The sequence below is a fragment of the Homo sapiens genome, chromosome 5 (genome assembly GCF_000001405.40).
Source record: "Homo sapiens chromosome 5, GRCh38.p14 Primary Assembly".
Taxonomy (NCBI): Eukaryota; Metazoa; Chordata; class Mammalia; order Primates; family Hominidae; genus Homo; species Homo sapiens.
In genome coordinates, this window is record NC_000005.10 from 148,101,191 (window position 1) to 148,129,157 (window position 27,967).

The 27,967-nt window shown below is 37.2% G+C and overlaps 1 protein-coding gene across 6 annotated transcripts in view, besides 1 other annotated feature; it reads left to right on the forward strand.

Annotated features, from left to right (window-relative positions):
• SPINK5 (serine peptidase inhibitor Kazal type 5) overlaps window positions 1-27,967 on the forward strand; it is a 73,403-nt gene that overhangs the window by 37,211 nt on the left and 8,225 nt on the right. For 4 of the 6 annotated variants that reach the window (NM_001127698.2, XM_047416662.1, XM_011537551.3 and 1 more), the window contains 18 exons: window positions 165-246; window positions 591-718; window positions 3,762-3,810; window positions 5,847-5,974; window positions 7,563-7,647; window positions 10,578-10,705; window positions 11,678-11,744; window positions 13,172-13,299; window positions 15,180-15,276; window positions 17,247-17,374; window positions 17,796-17,868; window positions 18,819-18,946; window positions 19,105-19,201; window positions 22,643-22,770; window positions 23,575-23,647; window positions 24,334-24,423; window positions 24,533-24,660; window positions 25,793-25,889. In NM_001127698.2, coding sequence (NP_001121170.1) covers window positions 165-246; window positions 591-718; window positions 3,762-3,810; window positions 5,847-5,974; window positions 7,563-7,647; window positions 10,578-10,705; window positions 11,678-11,744; window positions 13,172-13,299; window positions 15,180-15,276; window positions 17,247-17,374; window positions 17,796-17,868; window positions 18,819-18,946; window positions 19,105-19,201; window positions 22,643-22,770; window positions 23,575-23,647; window positions 24,334-24,423; window positions 24,533-24,660; window positions 25,793-25,889 — 1,834 coding nt within the window. Of the gene's footprint in view, window positions 1-164; window positions 247-590; window positions 719-3,761; window positions 3,811-5,846; window positions 5,975-7,562; window positions 7,648-10,577; window positions 10,706-11,677; window positions 11,745-13,171; window positions 13,300-15,179; window positions 15,277-17,246; window positions 17,375-17,795; window positions 17,869-18,818; window positions 18,947-19,104; window positions 19,202-22,642; window positions 22,771-23,574; window positions 23,761-24,333; window positions 24,424-24,532; window positions 24,661-25,792; window positions 25,890-27,967 lie in introns of those variants that run through there. The other 2 variants (NM_006846.4, NM_001127699.2) reach the window with 2 other exon arrangements.
• Window positions 13,321-13,490: an enhancer, noted in NCBI's record as "experimental_81997 CRE fragment used in MPRA reporter constructs". NCBI's record gives its function as "activates a minimal promoter by MPRAs in K562 erythroleukemia cells, with activity observed for both the introgressed and non-introgressed 5:147494159 variant alleles {active_cell/tissue: K562}" and the evidence as "EXISTENCE:reporter gene assay evidence [ECO:0000049][PMID:34662402]".

Sequence of the window (27,967 nt, forward strand, 5' to 3'; positions counted from 1 at the left end):
TGTAATGCAATTGTGAGGATTTCACAGTGTAAGCACAGGGTTAGGCACATCACATTCAAAGAATTTAATCGTTGTTAAGTGTAAAATTAAATTATATTTGAGATCACTTCTAATGTGGCGATTCTATGATTTTTACTTATCTCTTCTTAACCATCCTTTTTTAGCCAAGCAGAAGAAGAAGAAAAGAAAAAGAAGGAAGGTAAATCAAGAAACAAAAGACAATCTAAGAGTACAGCTTCCTTTGAGGTGAGTTTATATCCTCCAGCAACTCAGAGGGATATGGCCCTGAGGATCCACAGATCATGTTCAGGGAACACGTGCATTCCTTAAAACTGTATGAAACAATTGTACAGTTTGTGTTTTCATATGTGTTTTCATGTGTGCAGTTATACATGTGCATATGTGACTATTTCTTGGTTGTTGGGTTCATTGTTTTTATCACTTAAAAAATCCATGCCTTCAAAGTTAATCATTCTAAAATAAGCCAATTGCTAATCCTCGTTTAAGAAAAAAAGTACAAGCTTTAGCTATTTTTGCAATCTGATTCAGCCTATGTTCAACACTTTCAACTTCCTGCCTCAATTTCACAGGAGTTGTGTAGTGAATACCGCAAATCCAGGAAAAACGGACGGCTTTTTTGCACCAGAGAGAATGACCCCATCCAGGGCCCAGATGGAAAAATGCATGGCAACACCTGCTCCATGTGTGAGGCCTTCTTGTGAGTAGAGCAGTAGCCCCATAGCGTCTGAGGATTGAGCAGTGGGAATTTCCATGGGAAGTTTTCAAACCATTGTGAATAATGCATTTTCTTCTTCAGTGTAGCATTCAGTCTTGGGTGTCATATTTAAATGGACTAAAAACAAACAACAGCAACAATAAAACAAGTGGAGGGCTTTCTATTATGATATAAAGAGATGCAGAATAAGCCAGACACAGAAAAACATATAATGTGTGATGTCTCTTATATGTGGGATCTAAAAAAAGCTAACTCATAGTAGAGAGTAGGATGGTGCTTACAAGAGAATGGGAGTAGGGAAGGGTGAGGGTTGGGAATGAGGAAATGTTAATCAAAGGGTGCAAAGTTTTAGTTAAGCAGGAGGAATAAGTTTATGGGATGTATTGGACAGCATGGTGACTACAGTTAATAATAATGTATCATATATTTCAAAAACATTAAAAAAGTAAATCGTAAATGTCCTTACACCTTCCCAAAAAAGATAAGTATCATGAGACAACTATGTAAATTGCTTGATTTAATCATCACAATGTATACATATACCAAACATCACACTGAATTCAATTAATATGTACAATTATTATATGTCAAGTAAGAACACAATTTAAAAAAGTGAGGTGCAGAATAATTTCTTCTATGACATTTAAAAAGTAACCTAGAATCATTCACCCAGAGAAGAGAATACTTCATGATAATTATACTAATTGCTTTTAGTTTTATGAAAACATTATCAGATGAAATAGGAAATACATATGATTACACATAAAATATTACAATGCATGGAAAATTTATGGGATTTTTTTGTTCACTATCTTTCTTCCTACTTATTCTATGTGATTTTAAGGAATATAATTAAAATGGAAAAGAGCTATAGGAAGAAAGATTTGGGCTCATGATGAAGATTAACTTTGTAATAAAGCAGAAAAAGACAAGAATGGAGATTTTATTATGTAGGAGTTGGGAGCCTATTGATAGGGTGCCTAAAATAGGTCTTTAGGATGAATGTCATGGTATGGCCGGCCCTTCAAAAACGTGACTAGGCTTTTCTTAAACTCTTGATTTTTGACTAAAAAAACCCCCATTTTATTTCCCATGTGCCAAGAATCTTAGAAAGGACTTAATTTATTTAGTCTTCCCATATAGAAAGCAATATAATCCAGCATATTTTCCCATAGCATTTGAGGCTTGGAGCACTAAAAATCTATTAGAAGGAAAGTTGAGATCATGACCATATAATTATCACAACAAACGTTTGTTGAACGCATATAATTATGTGACACTTGCTCAGAGATTTGTTGCCTAATCTCATTTCATCTTCACAACAACCATATGAAATAGATGAAACCAGATAAAAAGCAAGAACAAAAAACAAAACTAAGGCCCAGAACAGTTGAGAATGACGGAAAAGTCAGGACAGGATATGGGACTTACAGATGAAGGAAAAGTTAATGTATTTCTTGTTGTGGGGTATAATCACTTAGTGAAGTCTTTCAGCCTGTTTTTTGTTCTCCCTTACATTAATTTTTCAGTAGCAAGAAACTAATTCTGCCACTTAGTGGTCATCTTTGCTGCCTCCTCTGACAATTTTCCATTGGGGAAAGAAAATGCTGCTTAAATGTTTTAGTCAACTTAGACTCGTGATAAAGGTTAGATCGGTTTTCATATAAAGATGTATGAACAATCCCATAATTTTAGATCTATTTTAGTCAGTTTATTTCATAAGTATATAAATTCTTTATTGAAAAGAAATAACCTTTATCACCTCATGTTTTATAGATATGTTAACAAAGGTGATTGATTTTTTTTGAGAATTATTCTACCCTCCATAGTTAGTTTTTGCACACTTTCATACCATGTGAAAACAGTCTTTTCAATTTTTAAAAAAGTTTTAGTTTGATCTATGTGCAAGTATTTTGTTGATTGGGACACATTAAAACATTTTCACAAATTATGTAATTTTTTTCTACATTTTGAACTATTTGTGTTATATATCCAATTATGCTGTAGATCCAATCCACCAAGCTCAATTTGCAACACTGTTAGTTATCCAAAATGTAACAGCTATCACTTTCACTTCATTTCCATCATATGCCTAGTTTTGGAAGGAAAGTTTCCTTTCAATAATGACAATAATGATTATGTCAATCTCTTATAACAATTATATCAATTATTTTATTTTGTACCAGGTACTGTTCTAATTGCTTTACATGTAGCAACTCATTTAATGCTCTTAACATTCCAATAAGAAAGGTACTTTTATTACCTCTTCTATTCCTCCTAAACACACACTTAAAGATGAGGAAGGCACAGAGAGGTTAAGGTACTTCTTGTCTTCCTTGCAGAATTTGGCTCCAGAGTCTTTCCTCTTAACCACCATGCTATACTGCCTCTCAGAAGATAAATATTACCTCTCCATAAAGAGTAATCACACATGCAAAAGAATCAGCAAATAAGAAAGTACTATTGCAGTACATATACTGGGAAGTTAAACAGGTTTACTCCCTAATTCAGGGGCTTTCTCTTGCACACCATTCTCTTGAGGTAGAGTGAATCATAATTGTTTATTGTCTAATAAAAGTATAAACTACTATGGGTGGATATTTGGCAGTGTTTGAGAATAGTCAAAACAATAAATGATCAAGCTATGAAAGTTAAGGATCTAGTCTACTATATTAAGATCCATTTCTGGCCAGGCACGGTGGCTCACACCTGTAATCCCAGCACTTTTGGAGGCTGAAGCGGGTGGATCATGAGGTCAGGAGTTCGAGACCAGCCTGGCCAGCATGGTGAAACCCCGTCTCTACTAAAAATACAGAAAACTTAGCCGAGTGTGGTGGCATGTGCCTGTAATCCTAGCTACTTGGGAGGCTGAGGCAGGAGAATTGCTTGAACCCGGGAGGTGGAGGTTGCAGTGAGCCGAGATCGCGCCACTGCACTCCAGCCTGGGTGACAGAGAGAGACTCCGTCTCAAAAAAGAAAAAAAAAAATCCATTTCTTCTCTCTTTTTCTTTTCGGTTTCTTAAAGTCAACAAGAAGAAAGAGCAAGAGCAAAGGCTAAAAGAGAAGCTGCAAAGGTAATATTCTCAGGAATGCTGATGCTGTGCCCTGACATTTTTCATTTCTTTATAATTCTTTACTTATCCTATTAGAATAAATGTTTTCTGTTTAATTTTCATGCCTGAAATAAATGAAGAACATTTTTAACCTGAACAAAAAGGGTCCTGATAAGAAGTGTCCAGAGTACCAATTTTATTTCACAATTATTCAAATTTTGAGGTTTATTTCATAAAAAGTGGAATGTTAACTTTTTGTAAGGAATTTTCCCCATATTTGGCTTTTATTAGATTTCTGTTGTTAGAGTATTAACTTATGCCATTTACTAATTTCAATTTACATTATTCATATCTCTGTTATTTCAAATAGAGAGTATAAGATCTCAATCATTCCAATTTACAAAACGAAAGCACATATATTATCATATTTGAGCTTTGTCACCACCCAGCTATGGAGCAAGTGGTGGTTTTCTTGCACCCAATTAAGATTATTAAGTTGGGCCTCTGACTTTCCAGTTATTTTTATTCCACTCTCCATGCTTTTATAATTTTATACATAGCAGAGTCAAATTTATCTGTGTGGAGATGTTGAATTATTCTCATATAATAGCTACATACAAGATTTATCTTTCTTTCTTTTTTTCTGTTTTTTTTGAGATGGAGTCTCGCTCTGTTGCCCAGGCTAGAGTGCAGTGGCGCAGATCTGGGCTCACTGTAACCTCTGCCGCCCGGGTTCAAGTGATTCTCCTGCCTCAGCCTCTCTAATAGCTGGGATTACAGGCACGTGCCACAATGCCCAGCTAATTTTTTTTTTTTTTTTTTTTAGTAGAAATGGGGTTTCACCATGTTGACCAGGCTGGTCTCAAACTCCTGACCTCAAGTGATTCACTCACCTTGGCCTCCCAAAGTCCTGGGATTACAGGTGTGAGCCACTGCACCCGGCCTGTTTATTCTATTTCTTAACAATAGCCACAACAGTACAAACCTCATCATTACTTGGGGAAAAGTTGACACAGTTTAAAATTTGCCTTCTTACTGACTCTTTTTTTTTTAAATAAGTGTTTCTACTAGGTGAAACTATCTTTTCATTGATCATTTAGAATTGAAAATGTGTTTTCATCCATTATGTTTGATCAGCTGCCAAATCCTCTTAGATATTTCCAGTGGTATTAACATATTCCTCCTTCTCTCCACTCCTATTCTTACCCTCTTGCTTCAAATCCACATCTCCCATTCCTGGTTTTTAATTTTTTTAAATCAATTTACTCCCAGAAATATGTTAGTTTCTCCAGGGATCAGACTTATTCTCTTCTCTATGTATAAAGATATGTCTTTTTAAATTTATTTATTTATTTATTTTTGAGTCAGGTCTTACTTTGTTGCCCAGGCTGTAGTGTAGTGGTGCGATCAAAGCTCACTACAACTTCGAACTCCTGGGCTCAAGTGATCCTCCCACCTAAGCCTCCCAAGTAGCTGGGACTACAGGCACACACCACCATGCCTGGCAATTTATTTTATTTTTTTATTTTGAATTTTTCTGTAGACACAGAGTTTTGCTATTGTGTCCAGGCTTGTCTTGAACTCCTGGGCTCAAGCACTCTTGCAGTGGCCTCCTAAAGTGTTGGAATTACAGGTGTGAGCCACCATACTTGGACAAAATATATATTTATTTCTTAGGTTAAGCATGTTTTTTCTCTTCTTTCTCAGACCCCTAAAGACAAATCACAGGTAAGCAATATTCTCATTTCCTCCAGGAAGGCTTCTCATCTAAGCCTGCCTATGGAATCTTCCCACCTCTGATCTTTCCTAGCTTTTACAGACCATGCTATGCAACACAACACACACGTATGTTTTTGATGATAAATATTTTCAGATCTGCTATAATGATGGGACAATTCTGATTGATGACGGAAGCTTTGTAAATACTTACTGATTTACTACTATGTGTTATCACTTTTGTTTTTACTTTTTACTCTACGTTACATATTCCTCATAATAGGAAAAGATGCAGGAAGGATAGAAAACTACTCTGAGAAAATATTTTCTTCATTTCCCAGGAAATCTGCAGTGAATTTCGGGACCAAGTGAGGAATGGAACACTTATATGCACCAGGGAGCATAATCCTGTCCGTGGCCCAGATGGCAAAATGCATGGAAACAAGTGTGCCATGTGTGCCAGTGTGTTGTGAGTGTCCACCCCATCTCTCCCACTGAATTTCTTCATCCATGATCGCCCCTGAGTCTCAGATCCTTCATGCATGTGTAGAGTATAGACCGTGAGTTATATATTAGAAAGGTTTACAAGCAGATGGATAAGACATTAAGTAATATTGAATCATATAGTGACAATACTATTATTTATTCAATTATCCTTCTATTTTCCAATTAAGTCAAGGGAAAAAGCTCAATTTAATGGTTTTTTTTTAACACTTGATAATCTTCATTTGTGAAAAAGAGAGAGCAGAAATTTCATGATTTGGATTGGATGATCTTTTTGATGTCTTTCCCACTCCTGACATTTTATGATTTGTTAGTCTATTCAGATAGGAGCTAAGGAGAAGCCAGCTGGATGGAGGTCTGTGGGGTCAGTACATAAAGACTATTAAAATAGCCTGAACAATAAATGGAATAGGAAGGATTGTTATTTATCCTTTCAAGGACATTACTATATAATGCAAACATTCATAAGTGGTTTAGTGTGGAGTAAAACCTTTAGGAAACAGGCTCATACCCTAAATGTTTACTAAAATGTCTCCTTGTTAAGCCAGGTTCATGGCCTTCTAAGGTCTTTGTTTTGCTGAGTGGTGTAGGTAAGCCTGTGACTACAGCTCCATCGTGTGGGACAATATAGAGGTTAATTATTATCACTTCTAATTCTCCTTTTTAGGCTCTTAATCTGCTCCTGAACTTAACCCTAAAATAAATGCCGAGAAAAACGCTTATTTAAATAATACCTGCTGAGGTGCAAAGTTAATGTCTCCTAACTTTCACATGTCTTGATCCAACCTTAAGTGGATGCATACAATTCCCTAAAAGGAGAGGTTGACAGAGTAGAGCACTAGAAGAAAAGTGGCCTGAAATTCAAGAAGCCAGGGTTTTTCTCTCACCCGTTCAATTTGCTGGTGTTGTGGTAATGACTAAATGTAGTAAATGCTAAGGATTTTCCAGCATTAACATGCTATATGTCAGTAGAAAATGGCAAGAATACCAGAATATTAGGCTTGTGTTCAACCCCCAAAGATTAGCAGTTGAATCTAACTGGACTTAAATCACTACTGCAATCTAAACCTTGAATTTCAACTTCAATATTAGCTCCATTGAAATAATATTTAAAATTTTTAGTTTAAAGTAAAACATGGTTTATTATGATTTTGAGCCCATCATCTGACTTAGCATCACCCTTTGCCTTTATCACGGATATGGTAGTTACTTGGAGAGGAAAGGTTTAAGCAGTGAAATAAAATCAAGACAATTGTAGCTTTATTCGGAATGTTAATTAAAATTAGCGACGTACAAAAAATAAGATCACCTGAGGGCCACAGACTGATAAAGATGCATGCTTGTTTTGTAATTATTCTTCTTTAGAGGGGGAATGTAAACAGCTAAGTTTATCTGTACTATTGGTTAAAGCAAAAGCACCTCTCAGACTAGATAAATTTGTATTGAAGACTGAATCTGACTGTTGGTTTGGAAGATCCTCATTCCTTTTAAAAATGTACTACCAAAAAGAGTAGGGAATCATATTCAGCCTATATCTTCTTTTTCTATTACAGCAAACTTGAAGAAGAAGAGAAGAAAAATGATAAAGAAGAAAAAGGGAAAGTCGAGGCTGAAAAAGTTAAGAGAGAAGCAGTTCAGGTAGTTGTTTGAGATCATCAGAGCCACATAAATATTCAACGATCACTCTCCCTAGGGAGGGCTCCTATTCCCTCCTCCTCATTCCAGTATTCTTAGTTTCTTTGCAAACTGGGAAAATGTGTTTGGATCCCCATATACAAGAGTACTCCCCTTTCCTTATTCAATTTATTCACATTAAATCTATTAATTGCTCGTGCAGGAGAGAGATCAATCACCATTTTCTCCCCTGATTGTGTCAATTATATTACCTAAGAAAGAAGTATATATAGATTGTTATCTTACTGTCTGAATGCAGACTAATAGAGACAGATGTTCAGATTTTTCTCAAGTACATTTTTGAATATGAATATTTACCTTAAAAACAGCAACAACTAGGGATCCCACTTAATTATCTGTGAGATTTTGAGGAGATAAAAGCATCTCTGAGTCTTGAGTTTGCATTCTTTAACATCTCACATGATGGTGATAACAATGATAATTGTACATTCGTTGCTACTGTATGCATCATGGCATAAAGTTTTATGACTGATATTTGTAGTAGCCATTGAAGGGACATATTATTATCTGTGTTTTATAGAAGAGGACTTGGAAGCTGACATAAGAAGTTAAGAAATATATTTAATTAGTTACATATAATACAATTATATACTGATATATTATTTACTATATATTAACATAAATATTATATGATACAAATAATATCATATATAATTATAATTATATGTAGTTAGTAACTTGAGAACCAAGAATTGAACCAAAAGTTCTGGCTTTAAGGCCCATGATGCACTTTAGATTTTACACGCTTCTGCCATTTGTATTATTCCTGCAGACTATGCCTTAGGTCCTCATTATTCTTTTCTTTTGTCCTTCTGTGATTTAGAAGAGCTCATTTCTACTGCTCTTACCTTTGCTCTCTACAATCTACTCTCAACTCTTAAGCCAAAGTAATTATTTAAAACCATAAGGCAGGTCGTGCTACCCAGTGGCTTCTCACCTCACTCAAAGTAAAAATCAAGGTCCTTGTAGTGTCTGGAAGTGCCATACATGGTCTGATCCCTGCCACTTTTCATAGGTCACATTTCCTATTATTCTACATTGTTCTCCATGCACCAATTATACTGGCCACCTTTTGGTTTCTGGGACATCCCAAGCATTGATTCATGGCTTTCTATCACGTGGTCACAAAAACAATGTGGTTAAAAAACTGGACTCTAGGCTCAGACTGTCAGGGTTCAAATCCTTGCTTCATTTCCCTACCAGTAAGGTCCTACAGTTAACATCTTCATATATTAGCTTTCTCACTTATAAGATAAGGACATTATTATTACGTATATTATTTTTATGAAGTCCCAAGAAACTTATTAATGTATAACAGCACAGTGTCACACATATCTTAAGTAGTCACTCTTTAATATTATATTTATTGCTGTTAATGTCATTATTGGTCTAATCTCATTGTCCAGTGGGGTGTTCCATACTGGAGAGTTCACCAATTCTTCAACATACAATGAACTTTACCTTCTATATGCCATTACTCACAGTCAGAATATCCCTCTTGTCTACCAAAATTCTGGCCACTTTTCATGGCTCAGACTGTGTGTTAACTGCTCCCTAAATATTTTCCCATGTGTGCAATATACTTAATAACTCTATCACTTGTTATGCCAACAATTTAAAAAGTATTTTAGTTATATTATTCATTGTATTATAACTTATAGTTGCCTCTATGTGTTTTCTTCAAAGAAATTAAAAACTCTGTGCTAGTTTTCTATGGTTGCGATAACAAATTAGCACACTTTAGTGGCTTAAAACAACATAAACTTCTCATTGTTCAACTCCCACTTATGAGAACACATGGACACAGGGAGGGGAACATCACACACCGGGGCCTGTTTGGGGACTGGGGGAAAGGGGAGGGAGAGCATGCAAATATCTAATATTAGCCCCCTCATGCAAATATCTAATGCATGCAAATATCTAATATTATTAGCCCCCTCATGCAAATATCTAATGCATGAGGGGGCTAAAAACCTAGGTGACGGGTTGATAGGTGCAGCAAACCACCATGGCACATGTATACCTATGTAACAAACCTGCATGCTCTGAACATGTATCCCAGAACTTAAAGTAAAATAAAACAAAATAAAATAAAATAAAAAACAATGAAAACAACAACAATAACATAAACTTCTTATCTTATTTCATAGGTTAGAAGGCTAAAAAGGATCTCACTGGGCTAAAATCAAAGGGTTGGCAGAGCTGTATTCCTTTTCTGGAGTTTGCAGGCGACAATCCATCTCTTTTTCTCCAAATCTAGAGGCCGTCCATGTTCCTTGGTTCTTGGACCCCCCTTCTCTGTCTACAAAGCCAGCAATGTTATATCTCTCTGACTGTTCTTCTGTGGTTACATCTCCCTCTCACTCTGTCTTCCATCTCGCTCTTGCAGTTTTAAGGACTGATCCTTGTGATTGAGCCTTACACTGAGCCCATTATGGCAATACAGGATAATCTCTTCATTTCAAGGTTATTAACTTAATTATATCTGAAAAGCCCTTTTTGCCATGTAAGGCAGCATATTCTCAGGTCTCAAGTATTAAGACTTAGACGTATTTGGTGGAACGGTATTATTCTGTATACCACAGATTCCTTTACCAATTTAAGAGGCCATACATTTTTCTTCTCTGTATCTTTCACAGTGCCTAGTGCAGAATAATATTTGACCTGAAGGTTTTCTAATGAGATAAATAACAGCAATCCATGTTCCAAATGTGTGACCTAGTTCTCTGAAAAGCATTTTGGTTACTATCAACCTTCAGCATCACCTTTTCCATGCAATCATTATGTTTTAGTTTTTAAAGCAGTATTGTGGAGGAAGATTTCTAGTGTTTAGTTATTGGACTCTTAAAACCTGCTTCTGCTTCATTTGGCAGGAGCTGTGCAGTGAATATCGTCATTATGTGAGGAATGGACGACTCCCCTGTACCAGAGAGAATGATCCTATTGAGGGTCTAGATGGGAAAATCCACGGCAACACCTGCTCCATGTGTGAAGCCTTCTTGTGAGTGGGCGGCAGCCACTGCTGCTACTGAGTGTGGGAGAAGATCAGCATCGGGTGGGCAAGAGGGGTGACATTGGAAGTTTTCTCCAGGAGATAGATAATAAAGGCTGTCTTTGCACTGAGTTTGGAAATTTACTATTATAAAGCCATATATTCAGCCCATTTATTTCTGGTGTTCTTCAATAGTCTGAGAGGTACTTGAATCACCATCAAGAAAGGACCATGTGCTAAGAGCAAAATTACACTGGAGTTAATGGCATAAAAGGATTAGGACTTCTGTTCTCTGCAAGCATAGGTCACTGTCAAATAATCCAAAGGTGTAATCATTAGGTGCTAATAAATTGAAAATGAGTTAACATCTAATTGATATCTTAGTTTATTTCTGGGGAGAAGAACAATATCTTTATTTTTCAAAAGAGATATAGTCATAAAAGTTTCTTCACTGGTTTGCTATGGCATGTGCGTCTTATTCTTTAAACAACCTTAAGAACAAGAACGGCTGGGTGTGGTGGCTCATGCCTGTAATTCTAGCACTTTGGGAGGCCGAGGCGGGCAGATGACGAGGTCAAGAGATCAAGACCACCCTGGCCAACATGGTGAAACCCCACCTTTACTAAAAATATAAAAATTAACTGGGCATGGTGGTGCACGCATGTAGTCCCAGCTACTTGGGAGGCTGAGGCAGGAGAATTGCTTGAACCCAGGAGAAGGAGGTTTCAGTGAGCCAAGATCGCGCCACTGCACTCCAGCCTGGCAACAGAGTGAGACTCCATCTCAAAAAAAAACCAAAAAACAAACAAACAAAAGGACAAGAACAATGATGTAGAGAGATGTGTGTTTACCTTTCCACTCCAAAGCTAAGTTGGTGGAGGTATAGAAGTAATGGACCATTTTTATGTAGAGACATTTCTCCTTTAGGGTAGTATGTATTGGGTGCTAGGAATGATTGTTTTGTCCTCCCTTTTCTTATAGCCAGCAAGAAGCAAAAGAAAAAGAAAGAGCTGAACCCAGAGCAAAAGTCAAAAGAGAAGCTGAAAAGGTAGTAATCCTGAATGTTTATACTGCAATGAAAGGATGAGATTTTGCAGTATCTCTGTAAAAATAACTATGGAATTACTGAAACCCCAGTTGTGAGGGAACTAGGGGTTCATTTAGTCCAGGGGTTGAGAAACTTTTTCTTAACAGAACAGATAGCAGATATTTCTGTTTTTGTGGCCATAGAATCTCTGTCACAACTACTCCACTTGGCTGTTGTGACTGTAAAACAGCCCTAGACTGTATACAAACATATGGGCATGGCTGACTCCAATACAATTTTATTTATAAAAACAAACGGCTGGCCAGATGTTGCTCACAGGTCACAGTTTGCAAACCCCTGATTTATTCTGTTCCCATATATTAATATTAAGATTTAAAATTCAGAGAAAAAGAAGAACTTGCATGTAAAGTTAATGGGAGTATGAGTATCAGTACCAATAGCTTCATATTTCAAAGTTCTGGAACAATAGAATTCAATCCTAGACTTCCTGATACCACAGCCAGCCTTCTTTCTAGTACACTATTTGTTTTTGGATTACCACATTTGGTCAACACATGTGTTCCTTGCTTTACCTGTGGTTATATTTTGGTGCCAGCATTTAGGAAAAAGATTAAAAAGTAGCATCCCCAAATAATATTTTCTTGGATTCAAAAAGGCTGGCTCCAAGTAGTTTATTCCAAGTTGTGGTCATTTCCCTGCCCCCATCAAAGACTATTGAGATTAAAAATAACCTCTAAAGAAGTATCGCCCTGGAACTCTGTATGTTTGGCTTGTTTACAGTTGTATTGCACAGTTGTAATAATTCTAAATTTAAAAATAATAGCAGTTCATATGAAAAATAGATTCACTCTTCAACATCTACAAGAGAAAATTCTTCAGTATGAGCTAATTTCTGATTTCACATTACTACTACAGACAAACTCTCCTCTCATTATTTTTTCTTTTGCTAAATATAACTAGTTAGGGGATCTGGCAATGAACCTTTAAGCAGAGCTAGGAGAAAAATTCCCTCTTTCATCCTCATTGAATTTCAACTTGAACTAAAGAATTCAGAATAAAATACAAAATCAATTGTAATTGCCATTTGTAATTAACTCTTTGAACTTCAGTGATTGCTTATTCTGTCTCAATTTCTCACGTAACCCTAAACAAGGAGTGTGCCCAGTCATCAGAGAACTAAGTTTATTGAGAGTCTTGTGTATGGTTGCAGGTTTAGTCTGGATTTTGGGGCTATCAAGGAAAAAGAAATACAGCCACCTTCTTAAGTCCTTTGTGTTTAATATAAATTGAACACTATAACTGCCAGAAAAAAAATTCTCAGGTCATTTTCTCTCTCTTTTTTTTTTTTCTATAAAGCACTTAGTAGGAACCCAGTAAACTAATTTCCCAGAAGATACTCAAGCTTTCTCCTTTTCTTTTCCTTTTAGGAGACATGCGATGAATTTCGGAGACTTTTGCAAAATGGAAAACTTTTCTGCACAAGAGAAAATGATCCTGTGCGTGGCCCAGATGGCAAGACCCATGGCAACAAGTGTGCCATGTGTAAGGCAGTCTTGTGAGTGCACAAAGAAAACCACTACTGTGGGATGGTGGAATTGGGGAAGCAATGAGCCAGGCAAATAATATGTATTGTGTTTGTCCTTTCCTTACATGTAATAGAAACAGAAGGTTATCTGTAAAGCATTTGAAATAAATCTTTTCTTTATAATGGCCAAGATTCACAGTTCTAGAAATAAAATAAATACAACTAAGCTATTACATTCTCTGTTAGTTCTGGGGTAGACCCTGCCAGTAGATCACACTTCCTTGATAAAATTCTTAAGTTATTTGCTATCAAGTGGATCCTTTCTCTGGATTATCTCGCAACTCATGTTGGAAAGAAAACACACAGATTTTAATGTCAAAGTCCTTACCTACATTGTTGAAAATAACACATTTTCAGAAAATGAAAAGTAGGTCTTTACACAAAGTTTGGAAGTACACCTAGAATATTTAAGTCCTTCAATAGCATTTACCAAACATCTACAATGTACAATGTGTATAATGTGTATAATGATTATACAAAGGTGAATGAAATAGATAATCTTCTCAGAAATCATATAGTCCACTGATATTAGTCACAGACGTAAGGTAATATAATACAAAGGAGGGACTGTTGAATGAAAAATTTGTCTGTGGTATGTTACAGTACTTCAAGAAAGGGATAATTAATAGAAAGTTTTATGGTGGGATAAAACTAGACCTTATAATTTGGATAAAATGTGGACATGACAGAAAGTAATGAGAGGAGAAGAAGGGAACAGCAAGAGTAAGGATCTAAAATTAGGAAAAAAACAAGTCATTTAGTTTAGTCAGAACTTACCAACTTTATCAACCTTGAATGCACACCAGAGATTTCGAGGTCAATTCTACATGTAATGGGAAGCTGCAAAAGTTGTTCAGATAGGACAGTAAGTGGCATAAATATTGTTCCTTTAGGAAGATTCATTTGTTAGCAGTAAACAGGAGAAAAAGAGAAAGAAAGTACTAAACTTAAGAATTGCTACTCATGTAGAGGGAGGAGCTGCAATAAATAACCCAGGAAGAGGCAGCTACGCAGAGCAAGGAGGTAGGCTAGAAGGCGAGTGGATCAAGGTGGGGGATGCTGTGAAGGTGAAGTCAATGTCATGTGGTGACAGCTATGCAAGCTGAAGGACAGTAAGCAATTAGAGATGATTCCACTGTTTTGTGTTTGTTTTTTTGTGAAAGGTAGAAAATCCAGGAGAAAGAATACATTTGGTAGAGAAGATAATGATTTTGGGGCCTCTTGAACATTAGGTATTGGCGATAAACACAGCTGGAGATCCCCAGTGAACATTTATGAAGTGTTAGTTAATTGCTCACCTTGTCTTTTTTTTTTTTTTTTCTTATGGAGTCCCACTCTGTCGTCCACACTGAAGTGCAGTGGTGTGATCTCAGCTCACTGTAACTTCTGCCTCCTGGGTTCAAGTGATTCTCCTGCCCCAGCCTCCCTAGTAGCTGGGGTTACAGGCATGTACCACCACGCCTGGCTAATTCTTGTATTTTTAGTAGAGACAGTGTTTTGCCATGTTGGCCAGACTGGTCTCGAACTCCTGACCTCAGGGATCCACTCACCTCAGCCTTCCAAAGTGCTGAGATTACAGGTGCAAACCAACACACCCAGCTTTACTCACCTTGTCTTGTTTATGGTGATATATATGTGGTGTTCTTTTATTTTAATGAGACCCTTCCTGGCAAAGGACTCCATATAATTTATATTTTTATTTTTAGAGAAGGCCTGCAGCATAGTAGATGTTAACTCAATGCTCGATAATTCTGTACATATGTGATTTGTTCATATAATGAGAAACTCAAAGAAATGCACACCACTCTCTGTAATCTATTGTTCCCTACCTCCCACTTTCTAATTTCCAGCCAGAAAGAAAATGAGGAAAGAAAGAGGAAAGAAGAGGAAGATCAGAGAAATGCTGCAGGACATGGTTCCAGTGGTGGTGGAGGAGGAAACACTCAGGTGAGAGCAACCTCTAATTTCAGTAACTGGGGCGGGCTCAACTCCTTGACAATAGGACTGTGAATAGCGTATATAGTCTATGGTAAAGGCAGTGCTAAGTCCTTGAGAGAACAGAGAAGTTTCTCCTTAAGGTTGCAGGGTAAGATATCAGCACATTTTCACTGCTCTGGGGTTCATTTGGATTTCTTTACACCTTGAAATAATTAACAATATGTAATGACCTTATCCCAGTCTCCTGAGCCCTCTTTATGGTAATCTAGACCTCATATCAATAATCGTTCTCATCAGTATCACATGCTCTTCATTTTCTTTCATTATTCTTTCTTGCCTTGGACAGAGCCACTTTTTTTAGGTGTCTTTTCTGTTGATCCAAGGCAGCATGATAGGACAAAAGAGCACAGGCTTTGGAGTCAGATTGGGTTATGATTCTGCTCCTACTACCTGGACTTGTGAGACATTGAGTAAATTACTTCCTCTCACTGAATTCTACTTTCCCTGATTTAGCAGTACTCTTCCAGGGATAAAAGAAAATAATTTAGGCAAAGGTTTAGCATGTTTCTTGAGGCATTTTTAAGTGTCAGCATGGCAATGTTGCACATAAGGTCACTCCTTGGGTCTCTGAACACAGTTTCATAAAATTGCAGTCGCCTTATTTATCTTTTTACAACCTTGGAATATCAAAACCATGTCTTCACTTCCAGATCTGACAAAGGCCCAATATTTACCTTTGATAAACTCTGGCTATTCTGTTTTTTTCCCATCTTTTTTGCTTTAGGAGGCTGAGTTCTCCCTTTTAAGGAATAGCCCTGTTGATTAGAATTGTCTGATAGACATTTTGTGTGTCTTGTTCATAACTTGGTCAAACCTACCTTCCTTGACATTTTGCATAACTTTGGGTTTTCCTCCAGCATTTTTCTCTCTCTTCTATCTGCACTAGAGACCTGCACATTTTTTTCTGTATAAGGCCAGCTAAATATTTTAAGCAATGTGGGCTTTGTGGGTCATATGATGTCTGCTGCAACTATTTTACTCTGCCATTGTTGTGGGAAAGAAGCAAAAAAATAATATCTGAATAAATGAGTGAGGATGTGTTTCAGTAAAACTTTATGTGTAAGAACAGGAAGCAGGAAAGATCTTCCCTGTGGGCTATACAATTGAACCTTGAACAACATGGGTTTGAATTTCCCAGGTCCACTTGTACTTAATTTTTTTTCAACCAAACTTAGATAAAAAATACAGGATTTGTGGGATGTGAAACCTGCATATATGGAGGGCTAACTTTTTGTATAGGTGAGTTGTACAGGGCCAACTGACAGACTTCAGTATACATGGATTTTGATCCTGGAACCAATCCCCCAAGTGTACCAAGGGGAAACTGTAGTTTGCTGACATTTAATATATGCTATTAAATTCAGTCATATTTATAATTTCCTTGTGTAGATCCTTAAAAGCAACATTAGTAGCCATGACAACTCATCTCTTATAATTACAACATGGGTGATTCTGGTCCCCTTTTCTCTGCAGATGCCAGACCTAGATGTTAGGGGTTTTTTTGTTTGTTTGTTTGTTTGAGATGGAGTCTCACCCTGTCACCCAGGCTGGAGTGCAATGGAGCAATCTTGGCTCACCGCAACTTCTGCCTCCTGGGTTCAAACGATTCTCCTGCCTCAGCCTCCCAAGTAGCTGGGATTACAGGCACCCGCCACCATGCCCAGCTAATTTTTGTATTTTTAGTAGAGACAGTGTTTCACCATGCTGTCCAGGCTGGTCTTGAACTCCTGACCTCATGATCCACCCATCTTGGCCTCCCAAAGTGCTGGGATTACAGGCATGAGCCACCGTACCCGGCAATGTTATGTTTCTTATAAAGAGAGGTGAAAGAACTTCTCTTACTCAGACTGTTAAAACAATTTACTAAGAATACAGTAGACTAAGTAATCCAGGGGCTCTTCGTTCTTCTCTGTTTTCAGGACGAATGTGCTGAGTATCGGGAACAAATGAAAAATGGAAGACTCAGCTGTACTCGGGAGAGTGATCCTGTACGTGATGCTGATGGCAAATCGTACAACAATCAGTGTACCATGTGTAAAGCAAAATTGTAAGTATTTCTCTCAACAGGCATGTCTAAAATATAGTCACATTCCTCTTGAATGAATGGCTATTTCTCATTTGCTATGGCTCCTTCCATGCAAATTATTCTTTTTGCTAATTTCCAAATATTCTATTTTTTTCTCTTGCGTTCTCTAAGGAACAATGAGCCTTAGCAAGGGCAGCTAACCAAGTGGCTGATTTCTATTGTATTTTCTATTACAATTCTGTGAACTCTAAGTGCTATCATGATAGACCCTTGTTCTTTATTGTGCCAGAATCCTAGGAAGACTTTGTCACGGCCATTTGGAATCATTGACCAGCACAGTTGAAGAAAGCTGACTTCTTGTCATTTGCACGGGACACACTTAGTGCATAATCCAGGGTCAATATTTGTTAACAAGATGAATATTCACTTTTTTCTCCTCCAGGGAAAGAGAAGCAGAGAGAAAAAATGAGTATTCTCGCTCCAGATCAAATGGGACTGGATCAGAATCAGGGAAGGTGAGTTATTTTTTGGGTTTTGGCAAGAATCGTCTTTCTGTGAGTCAGCAGTTGGCGATCAAAACTATAGAAGAAGGTGTCAACATGATCAAGCTAGAGCTTGCCCTTAGAAGGTCAGGAGTTACCAAGTTATCAGTGACTCTCACTGATAACTTGTTCAGTGAAGAAACCTAATGCCAAGTGGACATCTTTAAGTCTGACACTTTACAAGGCATTTTTATAAATTACAGTTTATTTAATTATTTCAACAGCCTGGTCAAATTTGGCCTTTTAACCTTATTTCGTAGATAGGGAAAATGAGGTTTTGCAAGTATACTGGGATTTATTTTTGTTTTTGCATTATTTTGCTGCTAGTGTAAGTTACTATAAGCAGATGCGTAAAATAACACACATTTATTATCTTATATTTCTGGATTCCATAAGTTTTAAATGGTCTGATTGTGATAAAACCAAGATGTTGGTAATGCCGCATTCCTTTGTGGAGGCTCTAGGTGAGGATCTGTTTCTTTGCTTTCTCTAACTTCTAGAAGCTACCTGTATTCCTTGGCTTGTGGCCACCCTTAAGCCAGTGATGGCCAGTCAAGTCCTTCTTATGCTTTATCATTCTCACACTGACTGTCCTGCCGCTGCCTCTCTCTTTAATGAGTAAGAACCTTTGTGATTACATGGGCCCCACTTGGATAATCCAGGGTAACTTCCCCATTTTAAATTCAACTGATTAGCAATCTTAATTCCATATTCAACCATAATTCCTCCTTGCCACGTAAAGCAACATATTTGGAGGTTCCAGGAATTAGAACATAGACGTCTCTCTCTGTGGGACATTATTTTGCCTATCACAGCAAGGTTACATGGCTGCCTGACTCTTGGAAAGAAATCCTCTGATTCTCAAATCCAATCAAATATTATGTAAAAACAGCACTTCCAATATAATCTTCCCATCTTTTCAGGATACATGTGATGAGTTTAGAAGCCAAATGAAAAATGGAAAACTCATCTGCACTCGAGAAAGTGACCCTGTCCGGGGTCCAGATGGCAAGACACATGGCAATAAGTGTACTATGTGTAAGGAAAAACTGTGAGTATGTTTCAAAATGAGCTTTTGACTGTGAGTCTTAAAGTACAATAATCATTTCTTACCAGTTTGGGAAAATGACAATTGTTTTAGAAGCAGATCTGGTAATTAATGAGGCGTTTGTTCACTTTGATTGAAATGTTTCATTGTTTTCCCCCCAGGGAAAGGGAAGCAGCTGAAAAAAAAAAGAAAGAGGATGAAGACAGGAGCAATACAGGAGAAAGGAGCAATACAGGAGAAAGGAGCAATGACAAAGAGGTAATAGATGTTAGACACGCTAATACCTGAATTCAGTTAGTTCATTGTATGGTATATTTATTCAACAAATATTTGTGAAATGCTGACTCTGTCCCAATCATTGGTGATATAACGGTAAACAATGAAGTCATGGCCAGATCTTGAAAATAAATAGCATGCTCTTCAGTTCCCCAGGAGTGACTCTGATGCAATTGTAGAACCAGTGACAACTGTCAAATTATTGTAGTTAGCCAGTGAATTTCATTTTTGAATTTTTTCTTTCCTTTGAGACAGGGTCTTGCTGTTGCTCAGGATGGTCTCGAACTCCTGAGCTCAAGCAATTTGCCGGAGCTCAAGTCTCAGCCTCCCAAAGTGCTGGGATTACATGAGCCATCGCACTCTGCTGTTTCTGAATTTTTTAAACAAATAAATATCAAGCAATCAGATGCCAAAAATTACAAAGAAAATCAGTATCAAAAATTTGGAGTTTGAGGCCAGGCACGGTGGCTCAGGCCTATAATCCCAGCACTTTGAGAAGCTGAGGCGGGCAGATCACGAGGTCAGGAAATCGAGACCATCCTGGCTAGCACGGTGAAACCCCGTCTCTACTAAAAGTACAAAAAAATTAGCCGGGCACGATGGCGGGCGCCTATAGTCCCAGCTACTTAGGAGGCTGAGGCAGGAGAATGGCGTGAACCTGGGAGGCGAGCTTGCAGTGAGCTGAGATAGCGCCACTGCACACCAGCCTGGGCGACAGAGCAAGACTCTGTCTCAAAAAAAAAAAAAAAAAAAAAAAAGGAAAAGAAAAAGAAGAAAAGTTGGAGTTTGAGATAATAAATTCTTGATCTGGCATTTCATTGCCACCTAGTGTTCAGTTTTGGTCCTTATAAATAGTATTCAACACTACAACACCAACACGTAGAATATTACACAGCACAATCTTTTAATGCACCGACGGACTCCAATTAGAAAAGATAAATAGCGAAATTTCCCTGGGAAGATTTTTCCTATTAGTAGGGCAACTTTTCATTAAGCCTGTAGTGGCTAAAGAAAATGAAACCTTATTAGTAATTATCATTATTTAAAAATATTTTGGGAATATCTGTTGTGTGTTACGGTAGATGAAATGGCTTTGAGAAAATAACCTTATTGCACAACTTCACATGATCTCTAAAGGACATCTATTTAAAATCTTGGTAAATTTTTAATTTTATGATCCTTATTTAAAAAATTTTGAACAGAAAAATGCTATATATATTTATATATAGAAAATACTGAGTAAAAAAAAAATAAAGAAAATATGGAGGCAGGGTGTGGTAACTCACTCTTTTAATCCCAGTGTTTTGGGAGACCAGAGCAAGAGAATTGCTTGAGCCCAGGAGTTCAAAACCAGCCTGGGCAACATAGTGAGACCCTGTCTCTACAAAATAATAATAATTAAAAAAAAAATAGCCAGGCATGATGGTGCACACCTGTAACTCTAGCTACTTGGGAGGTTAAGGTGAGAGGATCACTTGAGCCCATGAATTCAAGGCAGCAGTGAGCTATGATAGCATTATTGCACTCCAGCCTGGGCAACAGAGTAAGAACTTGTCTTAAAAAAAAAATAAAAATATTGAGATTGTGTGTGAGTGTGTGTGTGTGTGTGTGTGTGTCAAATAGAGAACTACCGTTTTATCTACACATGCAACGTTAAATAAGGTTTACCAATAATTATATTTAAACCTCCCCAAAATCTATTCAGTGGTGATATTGTTCCAATTTTTTAGAATTCAGGAAAACTTAAGAGAAGTGAACTACACATAATTAATGAATAGAAGAGCCAAAGACTGAATTGGAGGGTTGCAATACAGTCAGAGGAGTGCTATTATAAAAATATGTGGTATTGTGAGCACCTGGAAAAGAAAATACTTCCAGTAATTTGTGAAAATGGTGGTTGTGAGACATTTAATATGTTGATAGGTATTTAATTCCAGAGAATTTTTTAAAATGCTGCAATTAAAAGTAAGGCCTGGAATTGTTTGTTTACGGACATCACAATTTAAAGAAAGAAGGGTAAGTACAATCTAGGTTACTGTGTTATTTTTTAAGGTAATGTTTCCATATCACCACTTTGGCTCTTTGGGCTTACAGGAAGTTCCAGAGACTTCTGTAGCTCTCTGAAGATTTTAGTACATTCTAGATCCTATCTGTAGACTCGGTTCTATTGGCTTCTTTTTATGATCATTATGTTTCAATGAACACAAAAGGCAGCTCCATATACTTATCCACACATAGGAGTTTTATTCTCTGACTTGTAAAAGCAAATAAGTAAAAAGGTATAACCTGGTGGTTAGCAGGTTTCTGATCACAAATTCAACACTGACTTTATTTAATAGCTCTGAGATTTATTTTTCTCATCTGTAGAATGGGGATGATGCGTATTTATCTTATAAGATTTTTACAACCACTAAAGGAAATCTATTAAACCACACGATAAAGCACCTCGCACAATAATTTTTTTTTTTTTTTTTTTGGTAAATTGTGGTTGAGAAATGAAGCTGAAAGTTTACGTGTTTTTATGTTTTGCCAGAAGAGTGTCGTTTAGTTCATTCCAGGGCTTTTGAAGTAGACTTATGTGTGGAATACTGAGTGCACTCATAGGGAGACAGGTTTGGGGCTCTGCCTCATAGAAAATGGTATTAAAATGAGATGGGACAGGGCACTGGGGGCTCATGCCTGTAATCTCAGTGCTTTGGGAGGCCAATGCGAGAGGATCACTTGAGGCCAAGAGTTTAAGATCAGCCCAGGCAACACAGAGAGACTCCCGTCTCTACAAAAAATTTTAAAATATTAGCCAGGCATGGTGGCACATGCCTGTAGTTCTAGCTACTTAGCAGACTGAGGTGGGAGTGTTGCTTGAGCCCAGGAGTTGGAGGCTGCAATGAGCTATGATTGCACCACTGCACTCCAGGCTGGACAACAGAACAAGATTATATATATATAACAAGATTATATTATATACATAACAAGATTATATATATATATAGATAGATATAATATATTATATATATAGATATATATTATCTATCTATCTATATATATAATCTTGTTATATATATGTAATCTTGTTCTGTTGTCCAGCCTGGAGTGCAGTGGTGCAATATATGTGTATATATATATATATATATATATATATATAATCTTGCTTGCAATATATATATATATAGTTTTTAAAGGAATGGGCTGCTTTAGTGAAATTCCATTAGGGCAAGACAATCATTTGATAGAGATGCAATGGAGAAGATTCAAACTTCTTAGGTAGAGATTGAATAAAGTGCCTTTAAAACATATTTCTTCTCTGAAATTTCACTTCTCTGTTTTTTTCCTGTGTTATGAGTTTATATCTAATCGGTCAATCATGTTATCAGGTTTGAAAGATTATACCATGACAGTAACAACTTTTTCTGCTACTGTTGGTAGGATCTGTGTCGTGAATTTCGAAGCATGCAGAGAAATGGAAAGCTTATCTGCACCAGAGAAAATAACCCTGTTCGAGGCCCATATGGCAAGATGCACATCAATAAATGTGCTATGTGTCAGAGCATCTTGTACGTAAAAAGGTTTATCAATAAATTTGATAGTTGTGCCTGTTTGCTAGAAATTAGTTTTTGTTACTTTTAAAACCTAAGATACTTGGCATCACACATTAATGATATGATACCTCCTCTCTTTTGAAGAGACAATTTCCAAAGCACTTTCACAATAATTTTTTTATTTTGATGTTGAAAAGCATAATCATACCCAGAACCTCTGGGGTAGGAAGAGGTAGCTTATCAGCTAGGTAACCTGGGACAGGCCAGTTCATTGTGCAGAGCCTCAGTTCCTCCTGAGGGAAAAATGACTGAACAATATAGTTTTGTGGAGATTCAAGGACATTTTAAAAATGTTTATGAACTTCAAAGCATTATACCTACGTAAATAACATTCAAGGACATTTTAAAAATGTTTATGAACTTCAAAGCATTATACCTATGTAAATAACAATCAATATTGTGAGTTTGGTTATAATTTAATTGGAAAAGTAAAAATGAGAATTATAGCAACTTTCTAGATGAGAGTCTTAAGTCTATTATATTAAGGAAAAATAAAGACCTTTTAGGATCATATTTTTCTGGATAAGAGTATAGTAACAGCATCTATGAAAGTTGATAGCATTGCCACAAATATATTATCATGAAAATTCCAACAATCAGAACTGATTAGCTTATAAAAATATTCTTAGATTTTTTTTTAGGTATAAGAAAACAGTGTTAGATTTGCTAATGTTTAGAATCGCAGAAATACTTGGTTAAAGACAATTCAGTAACAACCCTTGAAAAATTACCCTATCTTTTTTTTTAATTATTCTGCAGTGATCGAGAAGCTAATGAAAGAAAAAAGAAAGATGAAGAGAAATCAAGTAGCAAGCCCTCAAATAATGCAAAGGTTATTTATTAAAGGATACCAAAATAACCATTTTACTTTTCACCTTCAGAATTTTGCATTCTTCTCCAGCTTTGGGAATAATAAATATATTAATATCTTAACTTCAAAGAAAATTGATTTTTCTTGTCTTGTCACTTTGTATCATAACAAGATTTTTGGGGGTTTGGGGGTTTGATACCTTTTTTGATTTTGTAGAAAATTCTCTGAGAGTGTGTGTCTATTATTGTTTTAGTCTTTCCTCCTTGGGAGAAATATGGATTGAAAAGTAGAGGGTAACATTCTTTACCAACTCAACTGCATGCTTATCTTTGACACTTTAAGTGTGAAACAAGGCTTTGGGTAGCTTGCTGATGTTTATTTTAATAATTCAGGCAATATAAACCAATCTAAGTCTCCCTTTTAGCTTCCCTTCTGTTTTCACCAGATGATTCTATCAGCATTAAAGAATCAGCAGTGTGCATGCGTGATGCTTTCTTTTCTATTTATTTTTCAAGACTACAAAGAAGACATCTTTATTCAATTCTTTAACAGTAACAATCACATTTGTAGAGTTAGATCCCTGAGCAATTGTCCTTTTGTCAAAAGCATGCTTCATGGGGAAAATGGGGAAAGGAAGGATGGATGAACGGGAGAAAAAAACAGGAAGGTCTATCAAGTGTTGTTTTATGTTTCCCTACATTTTTCAGGACCAGTGCAGACAGGTTCAGAATGAAGCGGAGGATGCAAAATTTAGACAACCTGGGCGTTCCTTGGCCTCTGTTGCCAGGATGAGTACAGTGAGTCTGAGCCCAGAGCTAAGAGAGGACTTCCTAAAACCAAGTTTGAAGAAATCACTAAGCCAAAAAGGGACAAAGCCATGTTCACTTTCCCTTTCTCATTTTCTAGGATGAGTGCAGTGAATTTCGAAACTATATAAGGAACAATGAACTCATCTGCCCTAGAGAGAATGACCCAGTGCACGGTGCTGATGGAAAGTTCTATACAAACAAGTGCTACATGTGCAGAGCTGTCTTGTGAGTAAGAGGATTCTGCTCCCCCTGTAGCTAGCAGGGGAACTGCATTTTTAGAAACTGCTGCTTGAATAAGTTTGTATATTTATGAACCCCATGGGATTTTAAAAATAAGTCTTTAGAATTAAAGCCCTCAAATTGAGAACACCTGATATAGTAGAAAGAACACTGAGACTTGGAGACAAAAATTCCGTATGTAAGTTCTAACCAAGATGTATACTAGCTGTGTCATTAAACAATTTGTTTTCAACTTTCAGCATCATAATTAGAAGAAATTCTTCAAGATCTTTATTCCACAACTAGATCAGACTCAATTGAGATGCCTTTAAAAATAAATACAAATTTTTACACCCCAAAATATATTATATCAGAATCTTGGGGCTATGGAATTTGTTTTTTAGAAAGAGTTTCTAGGTTATTCTAAAAAGCAAATAGAAATGGAGACCAATGGACATTATAAATGATGATGATGATGATGATGATGATGGTTGTAAAGCACACTGTGAACACAACAATAATCAAATTTCTTTAGCTTTTCATAGTGAGTGTTCTTTGAGGGGGAATTACCAAATACTACTCCCATTTTATGTTCTAGAAAATCAAAACTTCAGAACATTAACCCACTTGTCATCTGTTAAGTGATGAAAGTTCTAAACCAGCTCCTAATTGTGTACTTTTCTTAATATGTCATCCTGGTCACTATCTCAATGTTCTGTGATTCTGTTTTATTTATTTATTTATTTATTTATTTATTTATTTATTGAGACAGAGTCTCACTCTGTTGCCCAGGTTGGAGTGCAATGGTGCGATCTCAGTTCACTGCAACCTCTGCCTCCTGGGTTCAAGAGATTCTCCTGCCTCAGCCTTTCGAGTAGCTGGGATGATAGGTGTGCACCACCATGCCCAGCTAATTTTTGTATTTTTAGTAGAGATGGAGTTTCACCATGTTGGCCAGGCTGGTCTCCAACTCCTGACCTCAGGTGATTCGCCAGCCTGGGCCTTCCAAAATGCTGGGGTTACAGGCGTGAACTACCATGCCTGGCCTCTGTCACATTTTATGAGGATTGCTTAACTTCTCACTGGAAGTTATAGGAACTGTTTCTTATTTTAAATTATTTTTTATTTTCTTCTCTAGTCTAACAGAAGCTTTGGAAAGGGCAAAGCTTCAAGAAAAGCCATCCCATGTTAGAGCTTCTCAAGAGGAAGACAGCCCAGACTCTTTCAGTTCTCTGGTAAGGAGGACTATTTCTGAAAAGCTACTTATCAATTTAATTTTCTTGATTTTTTTTGACCTGTTGCTATTTGCTATTTTCATAGAAGGGTCTGAGGTTTGCTGATTCAGTGCAGCCTGAAGTCCTTTGAGGACTATATGCAGTTTATGCTTGGTGAGAGTTCTGGGATTTCTCATTAGTGCCTTATCCTGTGCCCTTTGAGATTATTTGCCCTGCTTCAATTTAGTACATTTTGAAATTTACAATGTGTGTGTGGAATAATTGTGACTAATTTCACATATGGTAAAATACATAGTCAGGTGCCTCAATTCTGTAATTTTAGCATACCTCTTGGTATTCTTAGCTTCCTCACCTAGCTTCCGCTTATTTCCCTCCTCCAACCAAATCTGTTTCTACATCCTGGAACTCTATGCCAAGCATGCTCACAGGTATAAATTTCCGCCAATTAGCAATTCGCAGTAGCTAAAGCTTCTTGTTTAAAATATAGGCTGAGCTGGGTGCGGTGGCTCATGACTATAACCCCAGCACTGTGGGAGGCCAAGCGGGCAGATCCCTTGGCCCCAGGAGTTTGAGACCACTGTGGGCAACATGGTGAAACTCTGTCTCTAGAAAACTTACAAAAAAAAAAATTAGCTGGGCATGGTGCCTTGTGCCTGTAGTTCCAGCTACTTGGGAGGCTGAGGTGGAAGGATGGCTTGAGCCCAGGTGGTCGAGGCTACCATGAGCCGTGATAGTGCCACTGCACTCCAGCCTGGGTGACAGAACAGGACCCCACCCTTCTCTCTTCCTCTCTCTCGTAGCTGATGGTCACCAGTAATGTAAGTATTAGTCTACATTAGCATGATAAGATTTACTTTGTAGAGCCTTCACAAGATGAGGAGTAGAAAGGAGCAAAGAGGATATGAGAACATCAAGCAGATTCTCAGATTGGGCCCTAAAAGGAAGATTTTAGCACCTAGGCTGATGACCCAGAAAAGGAGAAAGAAAGGTATCAAACATGAATTTTACTTCATTATTCACCCAATTCAACTAGGGTAATAGATGAGTTACATACATGAAATATGCATTAATTACATATTTCTGGTAAATTGAGCTCCACATCAGGGATCCGAAGGCATGGAGAAGAGCTATTAACAAAATATGTTTTTTTTTTTAAATACTAAAGTATAATAGTTACATAGAAGAAATGTACATATGCAAGTAAATAGCTAAATGAAATATCACAAAGTGATCATACCTGTGATAGCAGCAAGAAATAAGATATCATCAGCAGACCAGTAGCCCCCTCATTCTCCCTCATAAGCTACAGTCTGCTTTGGAGCTATTTCTTTTGGAGAAATAAATCTTTCATTATTCATTTTTTTCATCAAGCCGGCAGTCCTTTTGTCAGTCTACAAATACTTACTGAGCACCTGCTATTTTTCCAGGCATTATTTATTTACTTATTTATTTATTTATTTATTTTCTGAGAGGGAGTCTTGCTCTTTCGCCCAGGCCGGAGTGCAGTGGCGCGATCTCGGCTCACTGCAAGCTCCGCCTCCGCAGTTCACGCCATTCTCCTGCCTCAGCCTCCCGAGTAGCTGGGACTACAGGTGCCCGCCACCACGCTAATTTTTTGTATTTTTAGTAGAGACGGGGTTTCACTGTGTTAGCCAGGATGGTCTCGATCTCCTGACCTCGTGATCCGCCCGCCTCGGCCTCCCAAAGTGCTGGGATTATAGGCGTGAGCCACCGCGCCCGGCCTCCAGGCATTATTTACGTATGCTAGGTTAATAGCCATAAACAAAACAGATAGCGCTCACTACATGAAGTTCATAGTATATTGGAAAAGCAGATACAATAAATAATATGAATAAATGAAAAAATAATGCCAAGGAGGAAATAAGGCAGAAAAAAATGGTACAGTAAATTCTGAGATGGGGAGGGGAGGGGATACAATTTTAAGTGACATATACAGAGAATAACTCTCTCAGAAGGTGACATTTACATCAAGACCTAAGGGTATTGATTCTGTAGGTATATCTGAGGAGAACATATTCCAGAGAGAAAACATAGCAAAGCGTTTAGTGTTGTTGAAA